Source organism: Homo sapiens, chromosome 7 (genome assembly GCF_000001405.40).
Source record: "Homo sapiens chromosome 7, GRCh38.p14 Primary Assembly".
Classification (NCBI taxonomy): Eukaryota; Metazoa; Chordata; class Mammalia; order Primates; family Hominidae; genus Homo; species Homo sapiens.
Window position 1 is genome coordinate 4,944,058 of NC_000007.14, and position 23,855 is coordinate 4,967,912.

The 23,855-nt window shown below is 51.4% G+C and overlaps 1 protein-coding gene across 4 annotated transcripts in view; it reads right to left on the bottom strand.

The window, feature by feature from the left end:
- The window catches only part of MMD2 (monocyte to macrophage differentiation associated 2), a 66,943-nt gene extending 51,813 nt beyond the window's left edge, over window positions 1–15,130 (bottom strand). For all 4 annotated transcript variants that reach the window (NR_072989.2, NM_198403.4, NM_001270375.2 and 1 more), the window contains exon 1: window positions 14,914–15,130. Coding sequence is in view for 3 of the 4 variants with exons in the window: in NM_198403.4 (NP_940685.3) it covers window positions 14,914–14,960 (47 nt within the window). In the remaining variant the exon portion in view is untranslated. The remainder of the gene's footprint in view (window positions 1–14,913) is intronic.
- Between the last annotated feature and the right edge of the window lie 8,725 nt (window positions 15,131–23,855).

Here is a 23,855-nt window from a genome sequence, read left to right on the forward strand (position 1 = left end):
CAAGTAGCTGGGGACTACAGGTGCACACTACCACATCCAACACTCCCTCTCTACAAAAAATGTAAAAATTAGCTGGGTATGGTGGCACACACCTGTAGTCCCAGCTACTGGGGAGGCTGAGGAGGGAGGATCGCTTGAGCCCAGGAGTTCGAGGCTGCAGTGAGCTATGATCGAACCACCGCACTTCAGCCTGGGCAACAGAGCAAGAAAAAAAAAATTGGAATCTATTCTGAAGGAAATTAGCAAATCCTTCCCATCCCTCCCCTGGCCCCAGGGAAACTTTAGCCCTGGGCTCACTTGGAGGGAGCAAAGGTGGGTCTAGTTCCAGAGATGAGGGGAGCCAGGGGTGAGCCCACCCTCCTGCTGGAGCCAAGAGGCATGACCTGGGCCAGCCCACCCCACGCTGGATCTGTGGAGCAGGCTCCGGAGTGGCCGATGCTCTCCGTTTTTCAACCCTCTCAGCACTCCTACTATTCCTGCGAAAGGACTGGTGGAAGATCGAGGAGGACTTGGAATGGCCATTCTCCACCAGAATAGTCCAGCCCGGCCAGTGGCCATGGGTCCAGTGTGCCATCACAGAGCCAAGAATAGCAGAGAGACAGTCTCTCTGGGTCCTGCTGAACCCCGCTACTTCTGGTCTTTTCAGTCCTGAACACCAACAAATTCCTTTTTTTCTTTTTTCTCTTTCTTCTTCTTCTTCTTCTTTTTTTTTTTTTTTTTTTTTTTTTGAGACAGAGTCTTGCTTTGTCGCCTAGGCTGGAGTGAAGTGGCACGATCTCGGCTCACTACAAGCTCCGCCTCCCAGGTTCACACCATTATCCTGCCTCAGCCTCCTGAATAGCTGGGACTACAGGCGCCCGCCACCATGCCTGGCTAATTTTTTTTGTATTTTTAGCAGAGACGGGGTTTCACCATGTTAGCCAGGATGCTCTTTCTTCTTTTTCTTCTTTTCTTACCTCTCCCTCTCCCTCTCCCTCTCCCTCTCTCTCTCCTTTTTCTTCTCCTTCCTCCTCCTCCCCCCGACCCCTTCTTCTGGACACCAACACACTTCTTTTTTCTTTTTCTCTCTTTCCTTCTCCTTCTTCTTCTTTCCCTCTTCTTTTTCTTCCTTCTTCCTCCTCTTCCTCTTTCTTCTTCTTCTTCTTCTTCTTCTTCTTCTTCTTCTTCTTCTTCTTCTTCTTCCTCTCTCTCTTTCTTTCCCTCCCCTTTCTTTCTTTTTTTTTCTTTTTTTGAGACAGTCTTGCTCTGTCACCCAGGCTGGAGTGCAGTGGCGTGATCTCGGCTCACTGCAACCTCTGCCTCCCGGGTTCAAGCAATTCTCCTGCCTCAGCCTCCGGAGTGGCTGGGACTACAGGTGCCCGCCACCATGCCCAGCTAATTTGTATATTTTAGTAGCGACGGGGTTTCACCATGTTGGCCAGGCTGTTATTGAACTCCTGACCTCGTGATCCACCTACCTTGGCCTCTCAAAGTGCTGGGATTACAGGCATGAGCCGCCTCACCCAGCCCTTCCCTCCCCTTTCTCCCTTCCTTTCCTTTGGAGATCTCACTCTGCCGCCCAGGCTGGCATGCAGTGGCGCAATCTTGGCTCACTACAGCCTCTGCCTCCAGGGTTCAAACGATTCTCCTGCCTCAGCCTCCTAAGTAGCTGGGATTACAGGTGTGCACCAACACACCTGACTAATTTTTGTATTTTTAGTGGAGATGGGGATTCATCATGTTGCCCAGGCTGGTCTTGAGCTCCTGAGCTCAAGTGATCCTCCCGCCTTGGCCTCAAAGAGTGCTGGGATTACAGGCGTGAGCCGCCGCACCCGGCCTCTTTCCTTCTTTCCTCCAGGACAGAGGAGTGAAAATTCCAAAGCAGAGAGCTCTGAAATTGGTACAAGCCAGTTTCCAGCCCAACTCCTTTCCCAAAGACCAGAATTCAGCATTCATTCCTATGTAACGCAGCTGCCTGCTCAGAGAAGATTCCTCTGGAGACGTACACCTCTCTGGGGCAAAATGCACACACTCACACGCACGCACACGCACGCACACACACGCATGCACACGCGCACACGCACGCACACACCTGCACACGCACGCACACCCACACCCGCGCGCACACCTGCACACATGCACACACACGCGCGCACACCCACACACACGCATGCACACACATGCACACATACACGCACACACACGCACACCCCACCCCGTGCACACAATCCCAGGAGCTTCACAGAGTCGAAACACCATCCCCGCATCCTAAGAATAGCCATGCTCCAAACATGGACGGATCAATTTGTTTCCCTCTGCGGCCTTTCTCTGAAAGAAATGAAACCTTGGCTTTATCTAAGATAATAATGAAAATCCAAGTACTTTAAAAAGCTGAGTCCAGTGATGCTGAAGGGAAGTGGGGGTGCAGAGTCTTCACTAAGGGAGGATCTTGAAAAAGCATAAAATTGCAACCGCGAGTGAAACAAAGGATTCAGACAATGATAACCAATGGATGCTAAGACCACCAGGTGAGAGGCTGCTGAGTAATAGGATGCTGAAAAGGACCTCAGTATCTCTCATCCCAGGGGTTACCTTAGAGCCCTCATGGATCAACCTAGCACCACGGGTGGCAGGTCTACCAGATATCTCCCAGTAAGATGAAGTACACCATATGGCCTATAATCCTCCTGGCCTTTCTTCCTTCTTATTTTTAGAGACAGGGTCTGGTTCTGTTGCCCAAGCTGGAGTGCAGTGGTGCAATCATAGCTCACTGCAGCCTCGAATTCCTGGGCTCAACGGATCCTCCCCAGTAGCTGGGACTACAGGCTTGTGCCACACTACTAGAAAGAAATACCTGAGACTGGGTAATTCATAAAGAAAAGGAGTTTAGGCTGGGTGTGGTGGCTCATACCTGTAATCCCAGCACTTTGGGAGACCGAGATGGGCCGATCACCTGAGGTCAGGAGTTCAAGACCAACGTGGCCAACTTGGTGAAACCCCATCTCTACTGAAAATACAAAAATTACCTTGGTGTGGTGGTGCATGCTTGTAATCTCAGCTACTCCAGAGGCTGAGGCAGGAGAATCGCTTGAACTCGGGAGGTGGAGTTTGCAGTAAGCTGAGATGGCGCCACTGCACTCCAGCCTGGGTGACAGAGCAAGACTCCGTCTCAAACAAAAGAAAAAAGAAAGAGAAAAGCGGTTTAGTTGGTTCATGATTCTGCAGGCTGTACAGGAAGCATGGCGGCTTCTGCTTCTGGGGAAGACTCAGGAAGTTCCCAATCATGGCAGAAAGCAAAGGGGGAGCAGGTGTCTTACATGGGAGCAGGAGGAAGGGAGAGAAGGAAGAGGGGTGCTATGCACTTTTTTTTTTTTTGAGACAGGGTCTCGCTCTGTTGCACAGGCTGGAGTGCAGTGGTGGGATCTCAGCTCACTGCAACCTCCACCTCCCGGGTTCAAGCGATTCTCCTGCCTCAGCCTCCCGAGTATCTGGGATTACAGGCGCATGCCTCCAGGCCCAGCTACTTTTTTGTATTTTTAGTAGAGACGGGGTTTCACCATGTTAGCCAGGATGGTCTCAATCTCCTGACCTGGTGATCTGCCTGTCCCAGCCTCCCAAAGTGTTGTGATTACAGGTGTGAGCGACTGCACCTGGCCTTTTTTTTTTTTTTTTTTTTTTTTTGAGACAGAATTTTGCTCTGTTGCCCAGGCTGGAGCACAGTGGTGCGATATCAGCTCACTGCAAACTCCACCTCCCGGGTTCAAGCGATTTTCCTGCCTCAGCCTCCTGAGTATCTGGGATTACAGGGAGTGCCTCCACACCTGGCTAATTTTTTGTATTTTTAGTAGAGACAGGGTTTCACCGTGTTAGCCAGGATGGTCTTGATCTCCCGACCTGGTGATCCACCCACCTCAGCCTCCCAAAGTGCTGGGATTACAGGCGTGAGCCACCGCGCCCGGCCACTACACACTTTTTAACGACCAGATCTCACAAGAACTCATTCACTATCTCAACCAAGGGGGATACTGCTAAACCATTCATGAGAAACCGCCCCCATGATCCAATCAGCTCCCACCATGCCCCACATCCAACATCGGGGATTACAACTGAATAGGAGATTGGGGCAGAGACACAGATCCAAACCATATCAAACTCTATACAAGTGCTATGAACTGCATGTTGGCATCATCTCAAAATCCACATGTTGAGGCCGGGTGTGGTAGCTCACACCTGTCATCCCAGCACTTTGGGAGACTGAGGCAGGCAGATCACCTGAGGCCAGGAGTTAGAGACCAGCCTTGGGGGGGATCCCCATCTCTTCTAAAAATACAAAAATTAGCTGGACGTGGTGGCGCACATGCCTGTAGTACCAGCTACTCGGGAGGCTGAGGCAGGAGAATCACTTGAACCTGGGAGGCAGAGGTTGCAGTGAGCCAAGATCGCGCCACTGCACTCCAGACTGAATGACAAGAGCGAGACTCCGTCTCACCGAAAAAAAAAAAAAGAAATCCACATGTTGAAATCCTCACTCCTCAATGTGATAGTATTAGGAGGCGGGGCCTCTGGAAAATGACAAGGTCATGAGGGTGGAGCCCTCACAAATGGGATTAGTGCCCTTAGAAGAAGAGGCCAGAGAGCTCTTACTGCCAAGTCTATAAGAAGTCTGCCATCTACCACCTGGGAACAAATCTGACTGTGCTGACACTTTGATCTTGACTTCCAGCCTCCAGAATTGTAGGAAATACATTTTTGTGTTTTTTTCTTTCCAAAATTCTTTTTAGGTTCTATAAATTTCTATGGTTTATAAGCCACCTAGTCTAGGCTAAAATGTAGTGGCACAGTCACGGCTCACACAGCCTCCATCTCCCAAGCTCAGGTGATCCTCCCACCTTGGCCTCCAGAGCAGCTGGGACTACAGGGTTTCACCACCATGCCTAACTAGTTTTTGTATTCTTTTGTACAAAAGATGGTTGCAGTGAGCTGAGCCAACATGGAAAAACCCATCTCTACTAAAAATAGAAAAATTAGCTGGGCGCAGTGGTGCACACCTATAACCCCAGCTACTCGGGACGCTGAGGAAGGAGAATCACTTGAGCCTGGGAGGCAAAGGTTGCAGTGAGCCGAGATCACACAGCTGTACTCTAGCCTGGGCAATAGAGTGAGACTCTGTCTCAAAAAATTATTATTATTAAATTATTAACTATTGTCACCCTGCTTGCTATCAAATATTAGGTCTTATTCATACTAACTATTTTTTGGTACCCCTTAACCATCCCAACCTCCCCCCAACCTGCCCACTCCCCTTCCCAGCCTCTGGTAACCATCCTTCTACTCTCTGTGTCCAAGAGTTCAACTGTTTTGATTTTTTGATCCCACAAATAAGTGAGAACATGCAATGTTTGTCTTTCTGTGCCTGGCTTATTTCACTTAATAGAATGATCTCCAGTTCCATCCATGTTGCTGCAAATGACAGAATCTCAGTCTTTTTTTTTTTTAGATGGAGTCTCACTCTCTTGCCACGCTGGAGTGCAATGGTGCAATCTCGGCTCACTGCAACCTCTGCTTCCAAGGTTCAAGCAATTCTCCTGCCTCAGCCTCCCGAGTAGCTGGGACTACAGGCACCCGCCACCACACCTGGCTAATTTTTGTATTTTTTGTAGAGACGGGGTTTCACCATATTGGCCAGGATGGTCTCGAACTCCTGATCCACCCGCCTCAGCCTCCCAAAGTGCTGGGATTACAGGCATGAGCCACTGTGCCCGGCCAGAATATCAGTCTTTTTATGCCTGAACAGTACTATGGCATTTTATAAGAGTAGCGTGAACAGGCTAAGACAATTTGATCATAATTTTGCATCAATGTTAAATTTCCTTTTCCCCCCATCTCCTCTCTCACATTTAACAAATGACCTGCCCACGTTACCATTTCCGGCTAGGTATTTTTAGAATAATTTTTTTCACTGTGGTAAAACACACATCAAATGTACTATCCTAACCATTTTTAAGCATACAATTTGCTGTCATTAAGTACATTCACCTTCTTTTGTGTGTGTGTGTGTGTGTGTGTGTGTTGTGTGTGTGAGAGATGGAGTCTCACTCTGTTGCCCAGGCTGGAGTGCGATGGGCAATCTCAGCTCACCACAACCTCCACCTCCTGGGTTCAAGCGATTCTCCTGCCTCAGTCTCCTGAGTAGCTGGGATTACAGGCATGCACCACCAGGCCTGGCTAATTTTGTAATTTTAGTAGAGATGGGGTTTCTCCACGTTGGTCAGTCTGGTCTTGAACTCCCTACCTCAGGTGGTCCGCCTGCCTCGGCCTTCCAAAGTGTTGGGATTACAGGCGTGAGCCACTGCACCCAGCCCCACATTCACCTTCTTATACCACCGTCACCACCATCCATCTCCAGAACTCTTTTTATCTTGCAAAACTGAAACCCTGTCCCTATTAAACACTAATTCTTCATTCCCTACCCACCCTCACCTGCCTCTGGCAGCCACCACTCCACTTCCTGTCTCTATGGATTGGACTCCTCGAGGGACCTCAGATAAGTGGAATCATACAGTATTTGTCCCCTTGGGGCTGATTTCATTTAGCATAATGAATGTCCTTGTGGTTCATCCAGGCTACCGCGTGTGCCAGAATTTCCTTCCTTTTTAAAGCTAAATTTCTTTCCTTCTTTTTTTTTTTTTTTTGAGATGGAGTCTCACTCTGTCGCCCAGCAGGCTAGAGTGCAGTGGCGTGATCTCAGCTCACTGCACCCTCTGCCTCCCGGATTCAAGCAATTCTCGTGCCTCAGCCTCTTAAGTAGCTGGGATTACAGGCATGCACCACCATGTCCAGTTAATTTTGCATTTTTAGTAGAGACAGGGTTTCACCATCTTGGCCAGGCTGGTCTTGAACTCTTGACCTCAGATGACCCACCCGCCTCAGCCTCCCAAATTGCTGGGATTACAGGCGTGAGCCACAGCGCCCGGCCTAAATTTCCTTATTTTGATCTCATTGCATAAGAGAGTGCCCTGAAGGGTTTGTAGGTCTAGGGGCCTGATGTCCACAGGCAACTCCCACAGTCCAGGAGGTGAAGGGCAGCCCCAACCCCATGAGGCACCTACAGCTCCAGCCTGCCTGCAGCCCTATCCTTGGAATCCCAAGAAAGCAACTCCCTTGATAACTATGATGGCAGCCTCAAAAGTAGCTTCTGTCCCTTTATTTTCTTCCCACTGGAGCCCAAATCCAGACGGTTTAACTGCTTTTAAACCCTCAGTTTAAAAGCCCTTAATGGTGCCATAGAGCCCATGGAACAGTGGTCGGGTGTGCTCGGGACTCGTTGGGACCAGGCTCAGTATCCTCTCCACGCCCAGCCTGTGTTGCAGCCTCACCAGACCCTGCCCTGGGTCCCTGCACTTCACCCCCCAATGGCCTCATTCTTCAATGTCCTTCCCTCACCCTGGAAAACTCCTATTCATCCTGAAGAGCCCACTTACATGCTGCAACCTCCGAGGCTTGTCCTGTCCTGTCATGGACACCTGTGGTTTCTGCCCATCCAGCATCTAGCACTACTCATTCTTCCCCACCCCACCTCCTGAGACAAGGTCTCCCTCTGTCACCCAGGCTGGAATGCAGTGGCACAATCATGGCTCACTGTAACCTCAATCTCCTAGGCTCAGGTGATCCTCCCATCTCAGCCTCCAAAGTAGCTGGGACTACAGGCATGAGCCACTACAACTGGCTAATTTTTAAATTTTTTGTACAGACAGGGTCTTGCTATGTTGCCCAGACTGGTCTGAAACTCCTGGGCTCAAGCAATCCTCCCGCCACAGCCTTCCAAGTAGCTGGGACTACAGGTACGTGCTACCATGCCCAGCTAATTTTTTGCCTTTTTTTGGAGAGTCAGGGTTTCACCATGTTATCCAGGTTGGTCTTGAACTCCTGGGCTCTAGTGATCTTCCAGCTCAGCCTCCCAAAGTGCTGGGACTACAGGCTTGAGCCATCATGCTCGGCCTCAACAAGGTTTTTGAGTGCATCAGTGAACCAACTAACCAGCTGTGGGTAGTGGACAAGCCAGGGACGCCCACCACACGCCAGACCATGCTGGCCCCTTGGGGAACACAAGAGGGTTTGAATGGCCCCAGCCTACTCCTGCTCCCAGCGGCTTGCAGTCTGGCTGGGGAGAGGTGTGCAAAGCTGAAGGACATGTGGGGCCATCCCCTGCTCATTCCTGAAGGATCCTAAAAGGCCCGGGACTTGGGACAAGCCTGGAAGGGTGGGCTGTGCCTGGATGAATCTGAAGATGCATTTCTGCACTGCTGATGAAGTGGGGGTTTCCAGGTAAATCTCACTTCCTATTTCTCCCTGCATATTGGTCAACTCAGCTCTTCAGTCAAGGAGGAAAGAAACACACTGAGACCTGCTGGTGCTGAAAGAACAGCTCCCCCCAGGCATAGGCCGGGCGGCCACTGCCCGAACCTCCGCCCAACACTGCATGGTATCAGCCCATCGTTTATTTGGCACCTACTGTATACCACTCTGCACGCATTTCCTCACAGTTAGTCCTACCAAGAAGGCATCCTTTTTTTGTTTTTCAGATTCTCATAGGAGCATGAACCCTATTGTGAACTGCACATGTGGGGATCTCGGTTGCGTGCTCCGTATGAGATTTTTTTTTTTTTTTTTTTTGAGACAGAGTCTTGCTCTGTCGCCCAGGCTGGAGTGCAGTGGCACAATCCTGGATCACCGCAGCCTCCGCCTCCTGGGTTCAAGCAATTCTCCTGCCTCAGCCTCCCGAGTAGCTGGGATTACAGACACACACCACCACACCTGGCTAATTTTTGTATTTTTAGTAGAGAAGGGGTTCACCACGCTGGCCAGGCTGGCTTCAAGTGATCTGCCTGCTTCGGCCTCCCAAAGTGTTGGGATTAAAGGCGTGAGCCACCACACCTGGCCTTTTTTTGTTTTTTGTTTGTTTTTTTGTTTGCTTAGTTGGTTTTTTAGAGACATGGTCTCGATATAATGGTCAGGGTGGTCTCAAACTCCTGGCCTCAAGTAATCCACCGGGATTACAGGCATGATACACCATGCCCAGCCAAGGAAGTCATCTTAATCCCTGTTTCCTCCATCCCTACAGTTCCCCATCTCACCTGGACGTATTCCTATCTGAAGTGTTATCACATAGTTATTATCTGTTGTCTGCTTCCCACAGAAGAATGTGAGCTCCAGGAGGGCAGGGAATTGTCTTGGTCAGCACCGCCTGGCTACTTCCAACAGGTGCACTTGGCAGCTGGAAACACCATCAATATCAACACATTCCTACAACTCCTGAACTCCTGCAGATGTAGGGCTACACATGACCTGTATAAAACCCAATTCCAATTCTTTACACTGGCAACTAGATGGATGTTGAACCCTCAGCCTGAGTGGTTTCATTTTCGTGTGATTCAGTCTCTTTTTTTTTTTTTAAGATGGAGTCTCACTCTATCGCCCAGGCTGGAGTGCAGTGGCAAGATCTTGGCTCACTGCAACCTCTGCCTCCCAAGTTCAAGCAATTCTCCTGCCTCAGCCTCCTGAGTAGCTGGGACTACAGGTGCATGCCACCACACCCGGCTAATTTTTGTATTTTTAGTAGAGACAGGGTTTCACCATGTTGGTCAGGCTGGTCTCGAACTCCTGACCTCAGGTGATCCACCTGCCTTGGCTTCCCAAAGTGCTGGAATTAAAGGCGTGAGCCACCGCACCCAGCCTCAGTCTCATTTTCATAAAATATTTTGGTTTTATTGAATTACTTTGGACTTTAAATTTTTACAGTTGTTCATCTGAAATTTACATTTTGCCTTTTATCGTATTTTTTGGAGATGGAGTTGTTCTATCACCCAGGCTTGAGTGCAGTGGCACGATCATAGCTCACTGCAGCCTTGAACTCCCAGGCTCAAGGGATCCTCCCACCTCAGCCTCCTGAGTAGCTGGGACCGCAAGCACACAACCATGCCCAGCTAATTTTTTTCTTTTTGGAGAGGCTGGTCTCAAACTCCTGGCCTCCAGAGATCCTCGCACCTCAGCCTCCCAAAGCACTGGGGTTACAGGCATCAGCCACTGCACCCAGACAGTTAGGCTTCTTATGCACTGGATATTAAAGTGGTATCTCATTTTGCATTGTCTTGGTTACCACTGCGAGGGAGCAGTTCTTCACATGCTCACCTGTGTTCTCTTCCAAGAAATCCCTGTCCGTGTCTTTTACATTTTCTATTTGGTTATTTGTCTTTTTCTATTTCTTATTCTCTATATATTTTGGATATTAATTACTTGTTGGTTAAAGGTGTTGCAAATATGTCCTTTGCACTGTGGCTTGTCTTCTACTTTCTTCATGGCATTTTTGATTAACAGAAACTTAATTTTTTTTTCTTTTTTTGAGACGGGGTCTCCCTCTGTCACCCAGGCTGGAGTGCAGGAGCTCAGTCTCAGCTCATTTGCAGCCTCGATCCCCAGGCTCAAGCAAGCCTCCCACCTTAGCCTCCTGAGTAACTGGGACTACAGGCACACTTCACCATGCCCAGCTAATTGTTTGTATTTTTTGTAGAGATGGGGTTTCACCATGTTGCCCAAGCTGGTCTTGAACTCCCGGACTCAGGTGCTCCTCCCACCTCGGCCTCCCAAAATGTTGGGATTACAGGCATAAGCCACCTTGCCCGGCTGCAACTTAATTTTTAATGTAGTCAAGTTCATCAATCTTTTTTTTATGATTTGTACTTTATGTGCCTTCAGAACCTTACCCCAAAGTTCAAAAGTTATTCTTTTATAGATTCTCAAAGTTTTCAACTTTTTAATTTATTTCATGTTTACATCTTTCATCCCTCTAAAAGTGTCTTTTCTGTATGGTGTGAGGTAGGGTTCCTATTCCACTGTTCTCATCTGAATAATGAATTGTCTCAGTACCACTTATCCAATAGATCATCCTTGCCTAGGTTTATCAGCAACACCATCTTTGGTAAAAATAAAATGCCTTTTAAAAAGTTGAGATGGGATCTTGCTATGTTGCCCAGAGTGTTCTCAATCTCCTGGCCTCAAGTGATCCTTCCTGCCTTGGCCTCAGGTGTAGCTGGGATTACGGGCACGTGCTACCACACACAGCTTAAAACACCTTTACATGCATGAATCTATTTCAGGCCTCTTTATTCTGCTCCATTCGTCAATTTGCCCAGCCATGCACCAACACCATACTGTCTTAATTCTTACAGCTTTATGATATGAATGTTTCTTGATGTAGAAAAGCCATTCCAGGTGACCAGGTGGTTACTTACATCAAAGACTCTAGGTTAGAACCTAGGGGGTTAGCTGGCCTACCACCCGCTGAGAAACAGAGACTCCAAGAAGGACAGCATTTTTTACAATGTCACACAGAATTTAATTTGGAATACCCATCTCTCACCACAGAAGATACCAATACGGTAGACACAATCTACATGTGGTTATTGAGCACTTGGAATTGACTAGCCCAAATTCAGACGGGCTGTAAGTATAAAATGCACATTAGATGAAGACTTGTGGGGAAAAAAATGTAAAATATCTCCTAAATAATTTGTTCATATTCATTGTATACTGATATAATAATGCCTTGGATATAAAGAGTTAACTAAAATATATTCTAAAAATTATAATAATTTCACCTGTTTATTTTTACTTTCTTATAACAAGATGGAATATTAGGCACACATTAAACTGAGTGTCTACTAGAAAATTTAAAGCTGGCCGGGCGTGGTGGCTCACTCCTCTAATCCCAGCACTTTGGAAAGCCAAGGTGGGTGGATCATTTGAGGTCAGGAGTTCGAGACCAGCCTGGCCAATATGGTGAAACCCTACCTCTACTAAAAATACAAAAATTAGCCAGGCGTGGTTGCGGGCATCTGTAGTCCCAGCTACTTGGGAGGCTGAGGCAGGAGAATCGCTTAAACCTGGGAGGCGGAGGTTGCAGTGAGCAGAGATTGCGCCATTGCACTCCAGCCTGGGTGACAGAGTGAGACTCCAACTCAAAACTAAATAAATAAAATAAAGCCACATCTGTGGCTTGTATATTACTCATGGACAGCCCTGGATTATACCATTAAATTCATTCAATCAGCTGGGTGCAGTGGCTCATGCCTGTAATCCCAACACTTCAGGAGGCTGAGGCAGGAGGATCACTTGAGCCTAGGTGCTCAAGACCAGCCTGGGCAACATAGTGAGACCCCATCTTTACAGATACTTTTTTTTTAATTAGCCAGGCATGGTGGTGCACACCTGTAGTCCCAGCTACTCAGGAGGCTGAGACAGGAGAATCATGTTTGCCTAGGAGTTTGAGGCTGCAGTGAGCTATGATCACACCACTGCATTCCAGCCTGGGTGATAGAGTAGATCCTATCTTTAAAAAAAAAAAAAATCACTTAATCAAGAAGCCTTTACTACAGACCTAATTTGTGGACTGTACAGTTGTAAAGACTGCACAACGAGGAAGGGAACAGAAATAGAACTAATCCATGCGATCCATTTCCTCCCTGGACCCATCACCCATAGAAGCTGCATTGGCCCAAGCATGAAAGACTGGCCCGTGCTCCAGCTCCAGATCCCTATTCCAATTCCAGAGCAGCCAGCGCAAGTGTCCAAATCTAGAGACCATTTAGACCAGCTCTCATGACTTTACACATCAACCCACTGGGGTCAAGAGAGGTTGAGACATCTACCAAGGTCACACAGCAGGTGTGGGACAGGCCCGGGCTGGTTGCTGAGACTTCAGAGCTCCTTCCCTTCATGTCCACGTCGGCAGCCTTAAACCCAGGGTTTCTCTCTTTCCCGTGAACAGTCCACCAACTTACGTCTCACAAAATCCCCTGGAGCCAGCCTTTACAAGTCCAAGTGCCCACTTTGGGAGGCCGAGGTGAGAGGATCACTTGAGCCCAGGAGTTCAAGACCAGCTTGGGCAACATGGCAAGACCCCGCCTCTATTAAAAATACAAAAGTTAGCCAGGCTTGGTGGCAGGCGCCTGTAGTCCCAGTTACTCGGAAGGCTGAGGCGGGTGAATCACTTGAACCCGGGAGGTGGAGGTTGCAGTGAGCTGAGATCACGCCACCGCACTCCAGAGTCGGCAACAGAGTGAGACTGTCTCAAAAAAAAAAATATATATATATATATATAAATTATCTGGGTATTGTCGTGGTCCATACCTGGAATCCCAGCTACTTGAGGCTGAGGCAGGAGGATCGCTCAAGCCCAGGAATTTGAGGCTGTAGTGAACCATGATTGTGCCACTGCACTCCAGCCTTAGTGTGGGTGACAGAGCAAAACCCTGTCTCAAAGAAAAAAAACAAAGGCCGGGGGCGGTGGGTCATGCCTGTAATCCCAGCACTTTGGGAGGCCGAGGCGGGGGGATCACGACGTCAAGAGATTGAGACCATCCTGGCTAACGCGGTGAAACCCCAGTCTCTACTAAAAATACAAAAAATTAGCCGGGCATGGTGGCAGGTGCCTGTAGTCCCAGCTACTCGGAAGGCTGAAGCAGGAGAATCGCTTGAAACCAGGAGGTGGAGGTTGCAGTGGGCCGAGATCATGCCATTGCACTCCAGCCTGGGCAACAAGAGCGAGACTCCATCTCAGAAAAAAAAAAAAAGTAAGTCCAGTCCAGTCACACAATCTGGTCAACAGAGTCAATCCGCAGGAACTTATCCTCAAGTCCTTCCCAAGTGCATCACATCTCTGGGTGGGATTCCCCATTTAGGAGAGATAGACTCATCATGTCCCCCAGGGGGAAACAGAGGGTGAGACTGAGGGGGAAGGAAGGGTTCCGTCCTGTCCGCCAGCCTTCCCTACCCTGGACACCATCCTAGCCCTGAGCTCCTCTTGTCAAGCTGTGCTCAATATGACCAGAACTTGTGGAGACTTCAGGAGCACCAGGGCACTCTCAACAACCAGTTGCAAGTGACAAGCCACACTGATGTGAGTAGGAAGAATACTGCCAGCCCATCTCCCACTCACCACCCACTGGAGCCTCAGCACACACCAGGCCCCTCTGTTCACGAAGGCAGGGGACCCCAGGTGGCAGAGGGGGAAAGGTGACCTGGAGGACAGCCTGGTGCCCCCTCCAAAGAGGCCCCCGCGGGCTGCTCCCAGCAGACGGGTCTGTGCTCGCCGAAGACCACTGGGGACCGAGGAGCAACTTTAGGAGGGGATTTTTCATGCCAGCTTCCAGGCAAGCACATCTCCCAACAAAATCTTAAAGATATGTAAAAGGAGAAACCCCCTCCCCACGCCCACCTTCTTCACTGGAATTCCAAGCAACAGGAGCCTAACTTCTACTCAGATATCACAATGTCTGTTAATCACCATTTTACAAAAGAGACGGAGGTTCTGAGGGGACCACGGAGTTCACACTATGAAAAGACCAGGATGTACAGGTGCCTCCCCCCACCGCACCCCGAGCCTCAGTTTCTCCATCTGAAAAGAGCACTTACTCTTTCCTCCGACTTGCTGGAAGGGTGGACAGAGGTGGTACCAACGCCTTTTACCATGAACAAGAGTGCCCAAGAGAGACCGAGCGTAACTGCCCGAGCGTAGCTGGCCTGGGCTCCAGGCGCTGCGCAAAGTGCTCTGCAAGGACCAGCTCGCTTAATCCTCACGGCGACCCAGGACACGGGGACTCGCATAACCCCCGTTTTGCAAACGTGGAAATGAGGTTCAGAGAAGTGAAGCGACTTGCCCAATGGCACCCAGCGAGGAGGCGCGGGCGCCCCGGTTACTCCATCCCAGCGAGAAGACGAGGCTGCCTGGGTCCTGGTTTTCTCGGGCGGGGGTCAGGGGTCCGCCGATCCCCTCTAGCGCTCCGGGCGGCGGGGCCCGAGAACCAAGGTGGCCTCCGCGGCCCCCGCCGCCGCGCGCCCCTCCCTCCCTCCCCGCGGACCTCCGCGGCCGCCGCTCACCTCGCGTATTTCGTCTTCTGGAAATCCAGCAGCCGGGGGGCGAACATCGCGGCGCTTCCATGGGAATCTGGCCCCGGGCTCAGAGCGCGGGTAGCTGGCAGAGCCTGGGGGGCGCGGCGGCGGCAGCAGCAGGTTGGAGGGCGCGCGGCGGGGGCCAAGGGGACCTGGTCGGCGCCCGGAGCCGGAGCCGGAGCCCGAGCCGGAGCTGGAGGCGCCCGGAGCCGCCGACGCCAAATCCCGAGCAGATGGTGGCGGGGGCGGGGCGGGCGGGGGCACGGGGGGGCTCCCGGGCTCGCGCTGCCAATCGCCTAAGCCCGGCCCCCTCCCTCCCGCGACCCCGCCGCCTCCGCTGAGGTGGAGGAGGGTCGTGGGGAGATGGGGGGGTGGGAGAGGTGGGGGTGAGGAAGTGGGCGTAAGGAGTGGGGGCGGGACGGGGGGGGTCCTGGCTGCGCGCGCGAGCCACCCATCGCCCAGGCCTGGGGCGGCCCTGGCCCCGGCCCCTTTTCCCGGTGCCCTCCCTGGAAGCCAGGAGGTGGGGGGTTGGTGGGGTGGGGAGCGGGAAGTGGTAGTAGGGGGAGTGGGAAGGATTGGGAAGGCGGGGGCGCCAGGTGGGTGGAATGCAAAGTTGCGGGGCTGAGGGAGTCGGGGAGTGGGAAGGGGACGGGAGTGGGAACAGGGGGTGCTGGAGGGGTTGGGGGAAGTGGGAAGTGGGGGGTAAGGAGAGTGGGAATGGACGTGGGATGAGTGGGAAGTGGGGGCGTTGGTGGGGAGTGGGGGACTTGGGGGTGGGGGAGCGGAAAGTGGGGGGTTGGGGGGAGTGGGGGACCTGGGGGTGGAGGGAGTGGAAAGTGGGGGAAGTTGGGGGGAGTGGGGGACCTGGGGGTGGAGGGAGTGGGAAATGGGGGTGTTGGGGGGTGGAGGGAGTGGAAAGTGGGGGGTTGGGGGGAGTGGGGGACCTGGGGGTGGAGGAAGTGGGGGGTTGGTGGGAAGAAGGGGAACTGGAGGTGGAGGGAGTGGGAAGTCGGGGTGTTGGGGGGGGAGTGAGGGGGTTAGTGGGAAGAGAGGGACTCCGAGGTTGGTGGAGGTGGGAAATGGGGGTCTTGGAGGGAGTGGGGGACCTGGGGGTGGGGGGAGTGGGAAGTGGGGGTGTTGGAGGGAGCGGGGGACCTGGGGGTGGAGGGAGTGGGAAGTGGAGGAGTTGGTGGGGAGTGGGGGACCCGAGGGTAGGGGGACTGGAAAGTGAGGTTGGTGGGGGGTGGAGGGAGTAGGAAGTGGATAGGGGACTTCCCAATCCAGCCCCTTTTTCCCAGGTATCCTCCACCAGTACTTTTTCCAGTGAGGAGAAAAAAGCCCTCCAGGGCTAGACAGGGCTGGACCGACCCCGCTGGCCCCAACTTGGCTGGAAGGACAGCGGACACTGTGCCCGTCGTCCCCAGTGTAGCTGGGCCCAGCACCTACCGCCTGCCTGTGGCTTGCTTGCTCCCCCCACTGCCTGGCTCCCTACTGCCACGTCCCTGCTAGGCACAAGGGCCCCTATGGGACCTGCCCGGGAAGGGTCAGGGCCTCTGGGAAAACCCTCTTCCCCCAAGACTTCATGACTCTGAGGACCCTCCTGACCGCCATGACAGGGTCATTTGCATCTGGTGGCTGGATTCCCGAGTACAAATTCCAGCTTTCTCCCGTAGGAGACCTGGCCCAGGTTCTGGGCTTTGGAAAACCAACCACCCTATGGGAGGCTTGGAACCCCGGGGGGCTGATGGAGGGAAGACAGGCTTCCATGTGAAAGACATGCCAGCGGCACCTGAGGAACCCTAGGATTGGTCCCCAGATCCAAGAGAAGGCCCTTCGTTTGCACACACACTTCACCCTCCTTCCCAAGCCCCAGCCCCTATTCCTTTTTATTAATACAGTAATGCTTTATTTGAGATCCTGCTGAACATTCAGAAGATAACCCCACCCACTCCCTCTGCCCCCAGGGAGCTAGGACCAGAAGTGGGAAAAAGACAAAGGACTTCACCTTTTTTTCTTTTTTTTTTGAGACGGGGTCTTACTCTGTCGCCCAGGTTTGAGTGCAGTGGCGCCATCTCAGCTCACTACAACCTCTGCCTCTCGGGTTCAAACGATTCTCGTGCCTCAGCCTCCCAAGTAGCTGGGACTACACGCGTGCACCACCATGCCCAGCTGATTTTTGTATTTTTAGTAGAGATGGGGTTTCACCATGTTGGCCAGGCTGGTCTCAAACTCCTTGACCTCAGGTGATCTGCCCGCCTCAGCCTCCCAAAGTGGGGAGATTACAGGTGTTGCTGACTCCATCTAATTTATTTCGCCACTTCCACTGGGGAGGACCAGAGGGTTATAAGTAGATGCCTTCAGAGGCCATGGCAGGGCTGAGGGCTGGGGGGTGGGGTGGGGGATGGCTGAGGTGGGGACCAGAAGAGGGAACAGGAGTGCTTAGGAGGCAAAGGCCACCAGACCACCCTGATGATGGATTAGAAGTGGCAGATGCAGCCGGGCACGGTGGTTCATGCCTGTAATCCCAGCACTTGGGGAGGCCAAGGCAGGCGGATCACGAGGTCAAGAGATCGAGACCATCCTGGGACTATAAGTCCCAGCTACTCGGGAGGCTGAGGCAGGTGAATCGCTTGAACCTGGGAGGCGGAGGTTGCAGTTAGCCAAGATCGCGCCACTGCACTCCAGCCTGGGTGACAGAGCGAGACTCCCTCTAAAAAAAAAAAAAGAAAGAAAGAAAGAAAGTGGCAGATGGTCTCTCTCTCTCCTGGAGCTGAGACACTCTTCTGCCCTGGGACATGAGAACTCCTGGTTTTCCAACCTCTGCCTCCAGGATCTCAGCCTCCGTCCCAGCCTCATCTATCTATCTATCTATCTATCTATCTATCTATCTATCTATCCACCTATCTATCTATATTTTTTTAAGCCAGGTGGGGTAAGCCACTGCTCATGCCTGTGATCTCAGCATTTTGGGAGGCCAAAGCAGAAAGATTGCTTGAGGCCAAGAATTCAGGACCAACCTTGGCATGGTGAAACCCCATCTATACAAAAAATTTTAAAATTAGCCAGGCATGGTGGCATGCGCCTGCAGTCCCATCTCCTCAGGAGGCTGAAGCAGGAAGATCGCTTGAGCCCAGGAGTTGGAGGCTACAATGAGCTATGATGGCACCACCGCACTCCAGCCTAGGCGACAGAGTGAGACCCTCTCTTAAAAAAAAAAAAAAAGACAAGGGCCAGGTACGGTGGCTCACGCCTGTTAATCCCAGCACTTTGGGAGGCCAAAGCAAGTGGATCACCTGAGGTCAGGAGTTCCAGACCAGCCTGGCCAACATGGTGAAACCCCATCTCTATTAAAAATAAAACAAATGAGCAGGGGGTGGTGGTACACGCTTGTAATCCGAGCTACTCGGGAGGCTGAGCCATGAGAATCACTTGAACCCGGGAGGCAGAGGCTGCAGTGAGCCGAGATTGTGCCACTGTACTCCGGCCTGGGTGACAGAGCAAGACTCTGTCTGAAAAAGGAAAAGAGAAGAAGAAAGAAGAAAGAAGAAGAAGAGGAGGAAGAGGAGGAGGAGGAGAAGGAAGAGGAGGAGGAGGGAAATGAAACAGAAGAAATGACTTTTTAGGCATTGGTGCATAGTCAGGAGGAGTCCCATTCTTGAAGCCTTGTTTCTGCCGCGTGTCTGGCATCTACATTTGCGTGTCCCAGCTGGGATGCTGTGCGTCACAAGTCACAAAACAAGCGAGACCTCGGATAGGAGCAATGAATGCCTCCTATCCCCTCCTGCCGATGAGGGAAACTGAGGCTCATGGGCTGGGGACCTTCCCAAGGTCACAGGGCCTATGGGGGCAGGACTGTCCTGGAGCCCAGCTGGGCTCTGGGCTGATTTCCCGACACAGAACTCCTGCTCTGGTGATTTCTCGGACCTCCAGAAGATGGAAGTCAAACAGAAGTAGTAAGCAAAGCCAAGCCCTGCATGCCATGGCATCTGCCCTGACCTTGACTTCTATGGCCCTTGCTCTGACCCCACAGGTCCAGGCCTCGCTGTCCACTGCACCGGGACACACCTGTCCCCAGGTACCAGCGACACCTCTGCCCCAGCCAGGCTCAGACAGCCACTGGTAACCACAGCTCCCAGGAGGCTGGGGCTGGGCCTGTCCAGGGTCCATGGCCTGCCGCCCTCTTCCTGGCCCCAGCCTGCTGTTGACCTTCGAGCCGACCTTGGCAATGGAATCTTTAGGGCCGCAGAGGGGACCCCCGAAGTGAAACTCAAGCCTAGAAATGGATTTTCTGTTTCTCCAAGAGCAAAAGATGTTGAATAAAAAATTAGTTACTATTTTTACTGTCGGGATCCAGTTGTTATGGCAACTGAGGGCCTGACTCCTGCTCAGGAGGAGGCGGGGTTGGAGTATGATGAGGGAGAAGGCAGGGATGGGGCTTGGGGCAGGCACCAGCTGGGGGACAAGCTGGTGCAGGCGGCAGGTCTGCCCCTCCAGACAGAAGTCTCCCCGTCTGCTCGCCTGATTGTGCTCACCTGACTGTGTTCCTAATGACCCTGTCTCCCTTTAGCCACACTCACCTCCTGCCACCTCTGAGGGCTCCAGCTTGGCCCAGCCTGGTCACCTAAGCCTCTCTCTCCACTGCCTCTGGGAGTGGGTGGTCGTGCCCTCATCTCCAGATGAAAACCGAGGCCCCTGCCTCAGGGACAACTCACACTGAGTAGATCACTCCATCAACCTCACCTGGCCAAAACCCTCCCTCCGTCCCTGCTCTCCGTCTCAAGGTAGCACCAGTAGCCACCAGGGCCAGGTTGATGGCAATTGAAAGTTTTGCAGGTTTGCCAGGAGTGGTGGCTCACACCAGTAATCCTAGCACGTGAGGAGGCCAAGGTGGGAGGATCACTTGAGGCCAGGAGTTCAAGACCAGCAGCATAGCGGGACCCCATCTCTACAACAAATTAAAAATTAGCTAGGTGTGGTGGTGCACACCTGTAGTCCCAGCTACTTGGAAAGCTGAAGTAGGATCACTTGAGCCCAAGAGTTTGAGGCTGCAGTGAGCTACAGTCGTGCCACCGCACTCCATCCTGGGCAGCAGAGCAAGATTCTATCTCTAAAAAAATAAATTTAAAGGCCAGGCACGGTGGCTCACACCTGTAATCCCAGCACTTTGGGAGGCTGAGGCAGGCAGATCACTTGAGGTCAGGAGTTTGAGACCAGTCTGGCCAACATGGTGAAACCCCATCTCTACTAAAAATACAAAAAATTAGCCAGGCGTGGTGGTGTGCATCTGTAATCCCAGCTACTTGGGAGGCTGAGGCAGGAGAATTGCTTGAACCCAGGAGGCGGAGGTTGCAGTGAGCCAAGATTGTGCCACCGCCACTCCAGTCTGGGTGACAGAATAAGGCTCTGTTGCAAAAATAAATAAATAAATAACTTAAAAAGGAGAAAGGTGGAAAAGGGAGAGGGTGGATAGGGCTCAGGAGGATCGGGGAGTGAAAAATTACAAAAAGTATAAAGCAGGCATTGGTCCACGTGAAACCATCTGGGTTTGCTATCGGTGCTTATCCAAGTTAGGTTCCTGCCCTCCCCTGGAGGCTGGGACACAGGAGCCCTCTCCTCCTGCATTGCTGGAACAAACTGTAACTTCTGGCAGCCTTGAGCTTTCTCAGGCAGGCACTTTTAGAGAGACAGGGGCCATCCTAGGGATGCAACCTTGAGCGGCTGGAAACGAGGTTCGTGTTTGTTCAAGTTTTTATGGGCCAAGGCTGAGGCCCAGCTGAGAAAGCGCTCAAAAGAGCCGGGCTGGAGTTTGGCCAAGGAGAGTGTCTTTGCCGGCGGCCTGGGGGTGGCCCTAGGACGGGGAAACAACGTTGCCTGGGGTATTAGGGTCTGAAGGAAGTCAGGGAAGTCTTCTCAGCTGAGTCTTGCAAGATGGCTGGAAAACGAGCAGGAGGACAAGAAGGAGCAGGTGAGAAAAAGGCATCCAGGTGGGGAAGTGAGTTCCAAGCAAAGGGAACAGCATCAACAGCACCTGTAGGCAGGCATGGTAGCTCACGCCTGTAATCCCAGCATTTGGGAGGCCAAGGCAGGCGGATCACTTGAGATCAGGAGTTCAAGACCAGCCTGGCCAACATGGCGAAACCCCACCTCTACTAAATATACAAAAATTAGCCAGGCATGATGGCAGGTGCCTGTAATCCCAGCACTTTGGGAGGTCAAGGCAGGAGGATCACTTGAGGTCAAGAGTGTGAGACCAGCCTGGCAAACATAGAGAAAACCTGTCTCTACTAAAAATACAAAAATTAGCCAGATGCGGTGGCGTACGCCTGTAGTCCCCACAGCTACTGGGAGGCTGAGGCAGGAGAATCGCTTGAACGCTTGAACCTGGGAGGCAGAGGTTGCAGATCACACCACTGCACTCCAGCCTGGGGGACAGAGAGAGACTCTGTCTCAAAAAAAAAAAAAAAAGAAAGAAAAAAGAAAGAAAACACAATACCCACATTTGTGTCAGGTTATGGCATACAGAACCTGAACTGACGCTGATACTAAATGTAATAGTCTAACTCCCCCTACCCATTTTTTTGAGACAGGGTCTCCCTCTGTTGTCCAGGCTAGAGTGCAGTGGCATAATCATGGCTTACTGCAGCCTCGATCTCCTGGTCTCCAGCAATCCTCCCACCTCAGCCTACCAAGTAGCTAGGATCACAGATGCACACCATGACACACCGCTAATCTTTTAATTTTTTGTAGAGACAAGGTCTCACTGTGTTGCCCAGGCTGATCCCAAACTCCTGGGCTCAAGCGATCCTCCTTCCTCAGCCTCCCAAAGTGCTGGGGTTACAGGCATGAGCCACCCCGCCCGGCCTTGACTCCCTTTTTGATGTTTAACTGCTTGTGATATTGTGATACAATAAGAAATATTATTTGGTTCCTTCCCTTGGTTCCTGAGGCAGAGCTTCTGAAACCTTTGCAGACGGGGGCACTAGGAGGATCTTTAGTTGTAATATTTGATCTTTGACTGTTTCCTGACACAGAGCTCCTAAGACCTCCGTAACGTCCTGAGTGATAGGAGCATCTTTTGTTCTAGTGAGGTGACTCCTGGGGGGCTCCTGGGTAGCCTCAGGATGCGGGGGCTAGTTACCAGGTGAACCAACCACATGATTAGAGGGTTAGAACGTTTACTCCTCCCCCTGACTTCCGGAGAGGGGAGAGGGACTGACAAGTGAGTTTATCACCAATGATTCAGTATATCATGCCTATGAAATGAAGCCTCCAAAAAACCCAAGAAGGGCGGGGCATGGTGGCTCATGCCTGTAATCCCAGCACTTTGGGAGGCTGAGGTGGGCAGATCACCTGAGGTCAGGAGTTTGAGACCAGCCTGGCCGACATGGTGAAACCCCATCTCTACTCTACTAAAAATAAAAAAAATTAGCCAGGCATCGTGGGGCGTGCCTGTGGTCCCAGTTAGTTGAGAGGCTGAGGCAGGAGAATTGCTTGAACTCAGGAGGTGAAGGTATGGTGAACTGAGGTCACGCCACTACACTCCAGCCTGGGTGACAGAGCAAGACTCTGTCTCAAAAAAACAAAACAAAACAAAACAAAAGGACAGCACTCGGAGAGCTTCGATGCTGAACTTGTGGAGGTGCCGGGAGGGTGGTGTGCCCAGAGAGGGCATGGAAGCTCCACCCCTTCCCACAAAACTTGCCCCTTTGGCCTCGGCATCTGGCCATTCCTCTGCATTTTCCGTAATGCCCCTTATAGTAAACTGGTAAACAGGCCGGCCATGGTGGCTCACACCTATAATCCCAGCACGTTGGGAGGCTGAGGCGGGCAGATCACTTGAGGCCGGGAGTTCAAGACAAACCTGGCCAACATAGCAAAACCCTGTCTCTACTAAAAATACAAAAATTAGCCAGGCGTGGTGGCAGGTGCCTGTAATCCCAGCTACTTGGGAGGCTTAGGCAGGAGAATCGCTGGAGCCCAGGAAGAGGAGGCTGGTTGCAGTGAGCCGAGATCACACCTCTGCACTCCAGCCTGGGCGACAGAGCAAGCCTCCGTCTCAAAAAACAACAACAACAAAAGTGCTTTGTGTTAAGTATAGAGTGGTGTGAGAGTAGGAAACACACTTTGGTCTTATTTTATTTTTATTTCAGAGACAGGGTCTGGTTCTGTCACCTGGTATGATCACAGCTCACTATAGCCCTGAACTCCTGGGTGCAAACCATCCTCCCACCTCAGCCTCCCTAGTAGCTGGGACTACAAGTGCACACCATCATGCCTGGCTACTTTTTTTTTTTTTTTTTGTAGAGAATGAGGGTCTCACTATGTTGCCCAGGCTGGTCTCAAACTCCTGGCCTCAAGTGATCCTCTTGCCTCAGCCTCCCAAAGTACTGGGATTATAGCCATGAGCTACCACACACTGCCTATTTTTATTTATTATAAAAAAAAAATTTTGGCCAGGCATGGTGGCTTGTACCCGTAATCCCAGCACTTTGGGAGGCTGAGGCAGGTGGATCACTTGAGGCCAGGAGTTCAAGACCAGCCTGCCCAACATGGCAAAAACCCATCTCTACTAAAAATATAAAAATTAGCTGGGTATGGTGACACATGCCTGTAATCCCAGCTACTCGGGAGGCTGAGGCATAAGAATCAATTAAGACTGGGAGGCAGAGATTGCAGTGAGCCGAAATCATGCTGCTACACTCCAGCCTGGGCAACACAGGCTCTGTGTTTTGAGACTCTGTCTCAAAAAAAAAAAAAAACATATATATATATATATATATATACACGTATATATAATATACGTATATACGTATATATATGTATATATATACGTATATATATGTGTGTATATATACGTATATATATGTATATATATACGTATATATATGTGTATATATACGTATATATATATATACACACATATATATATG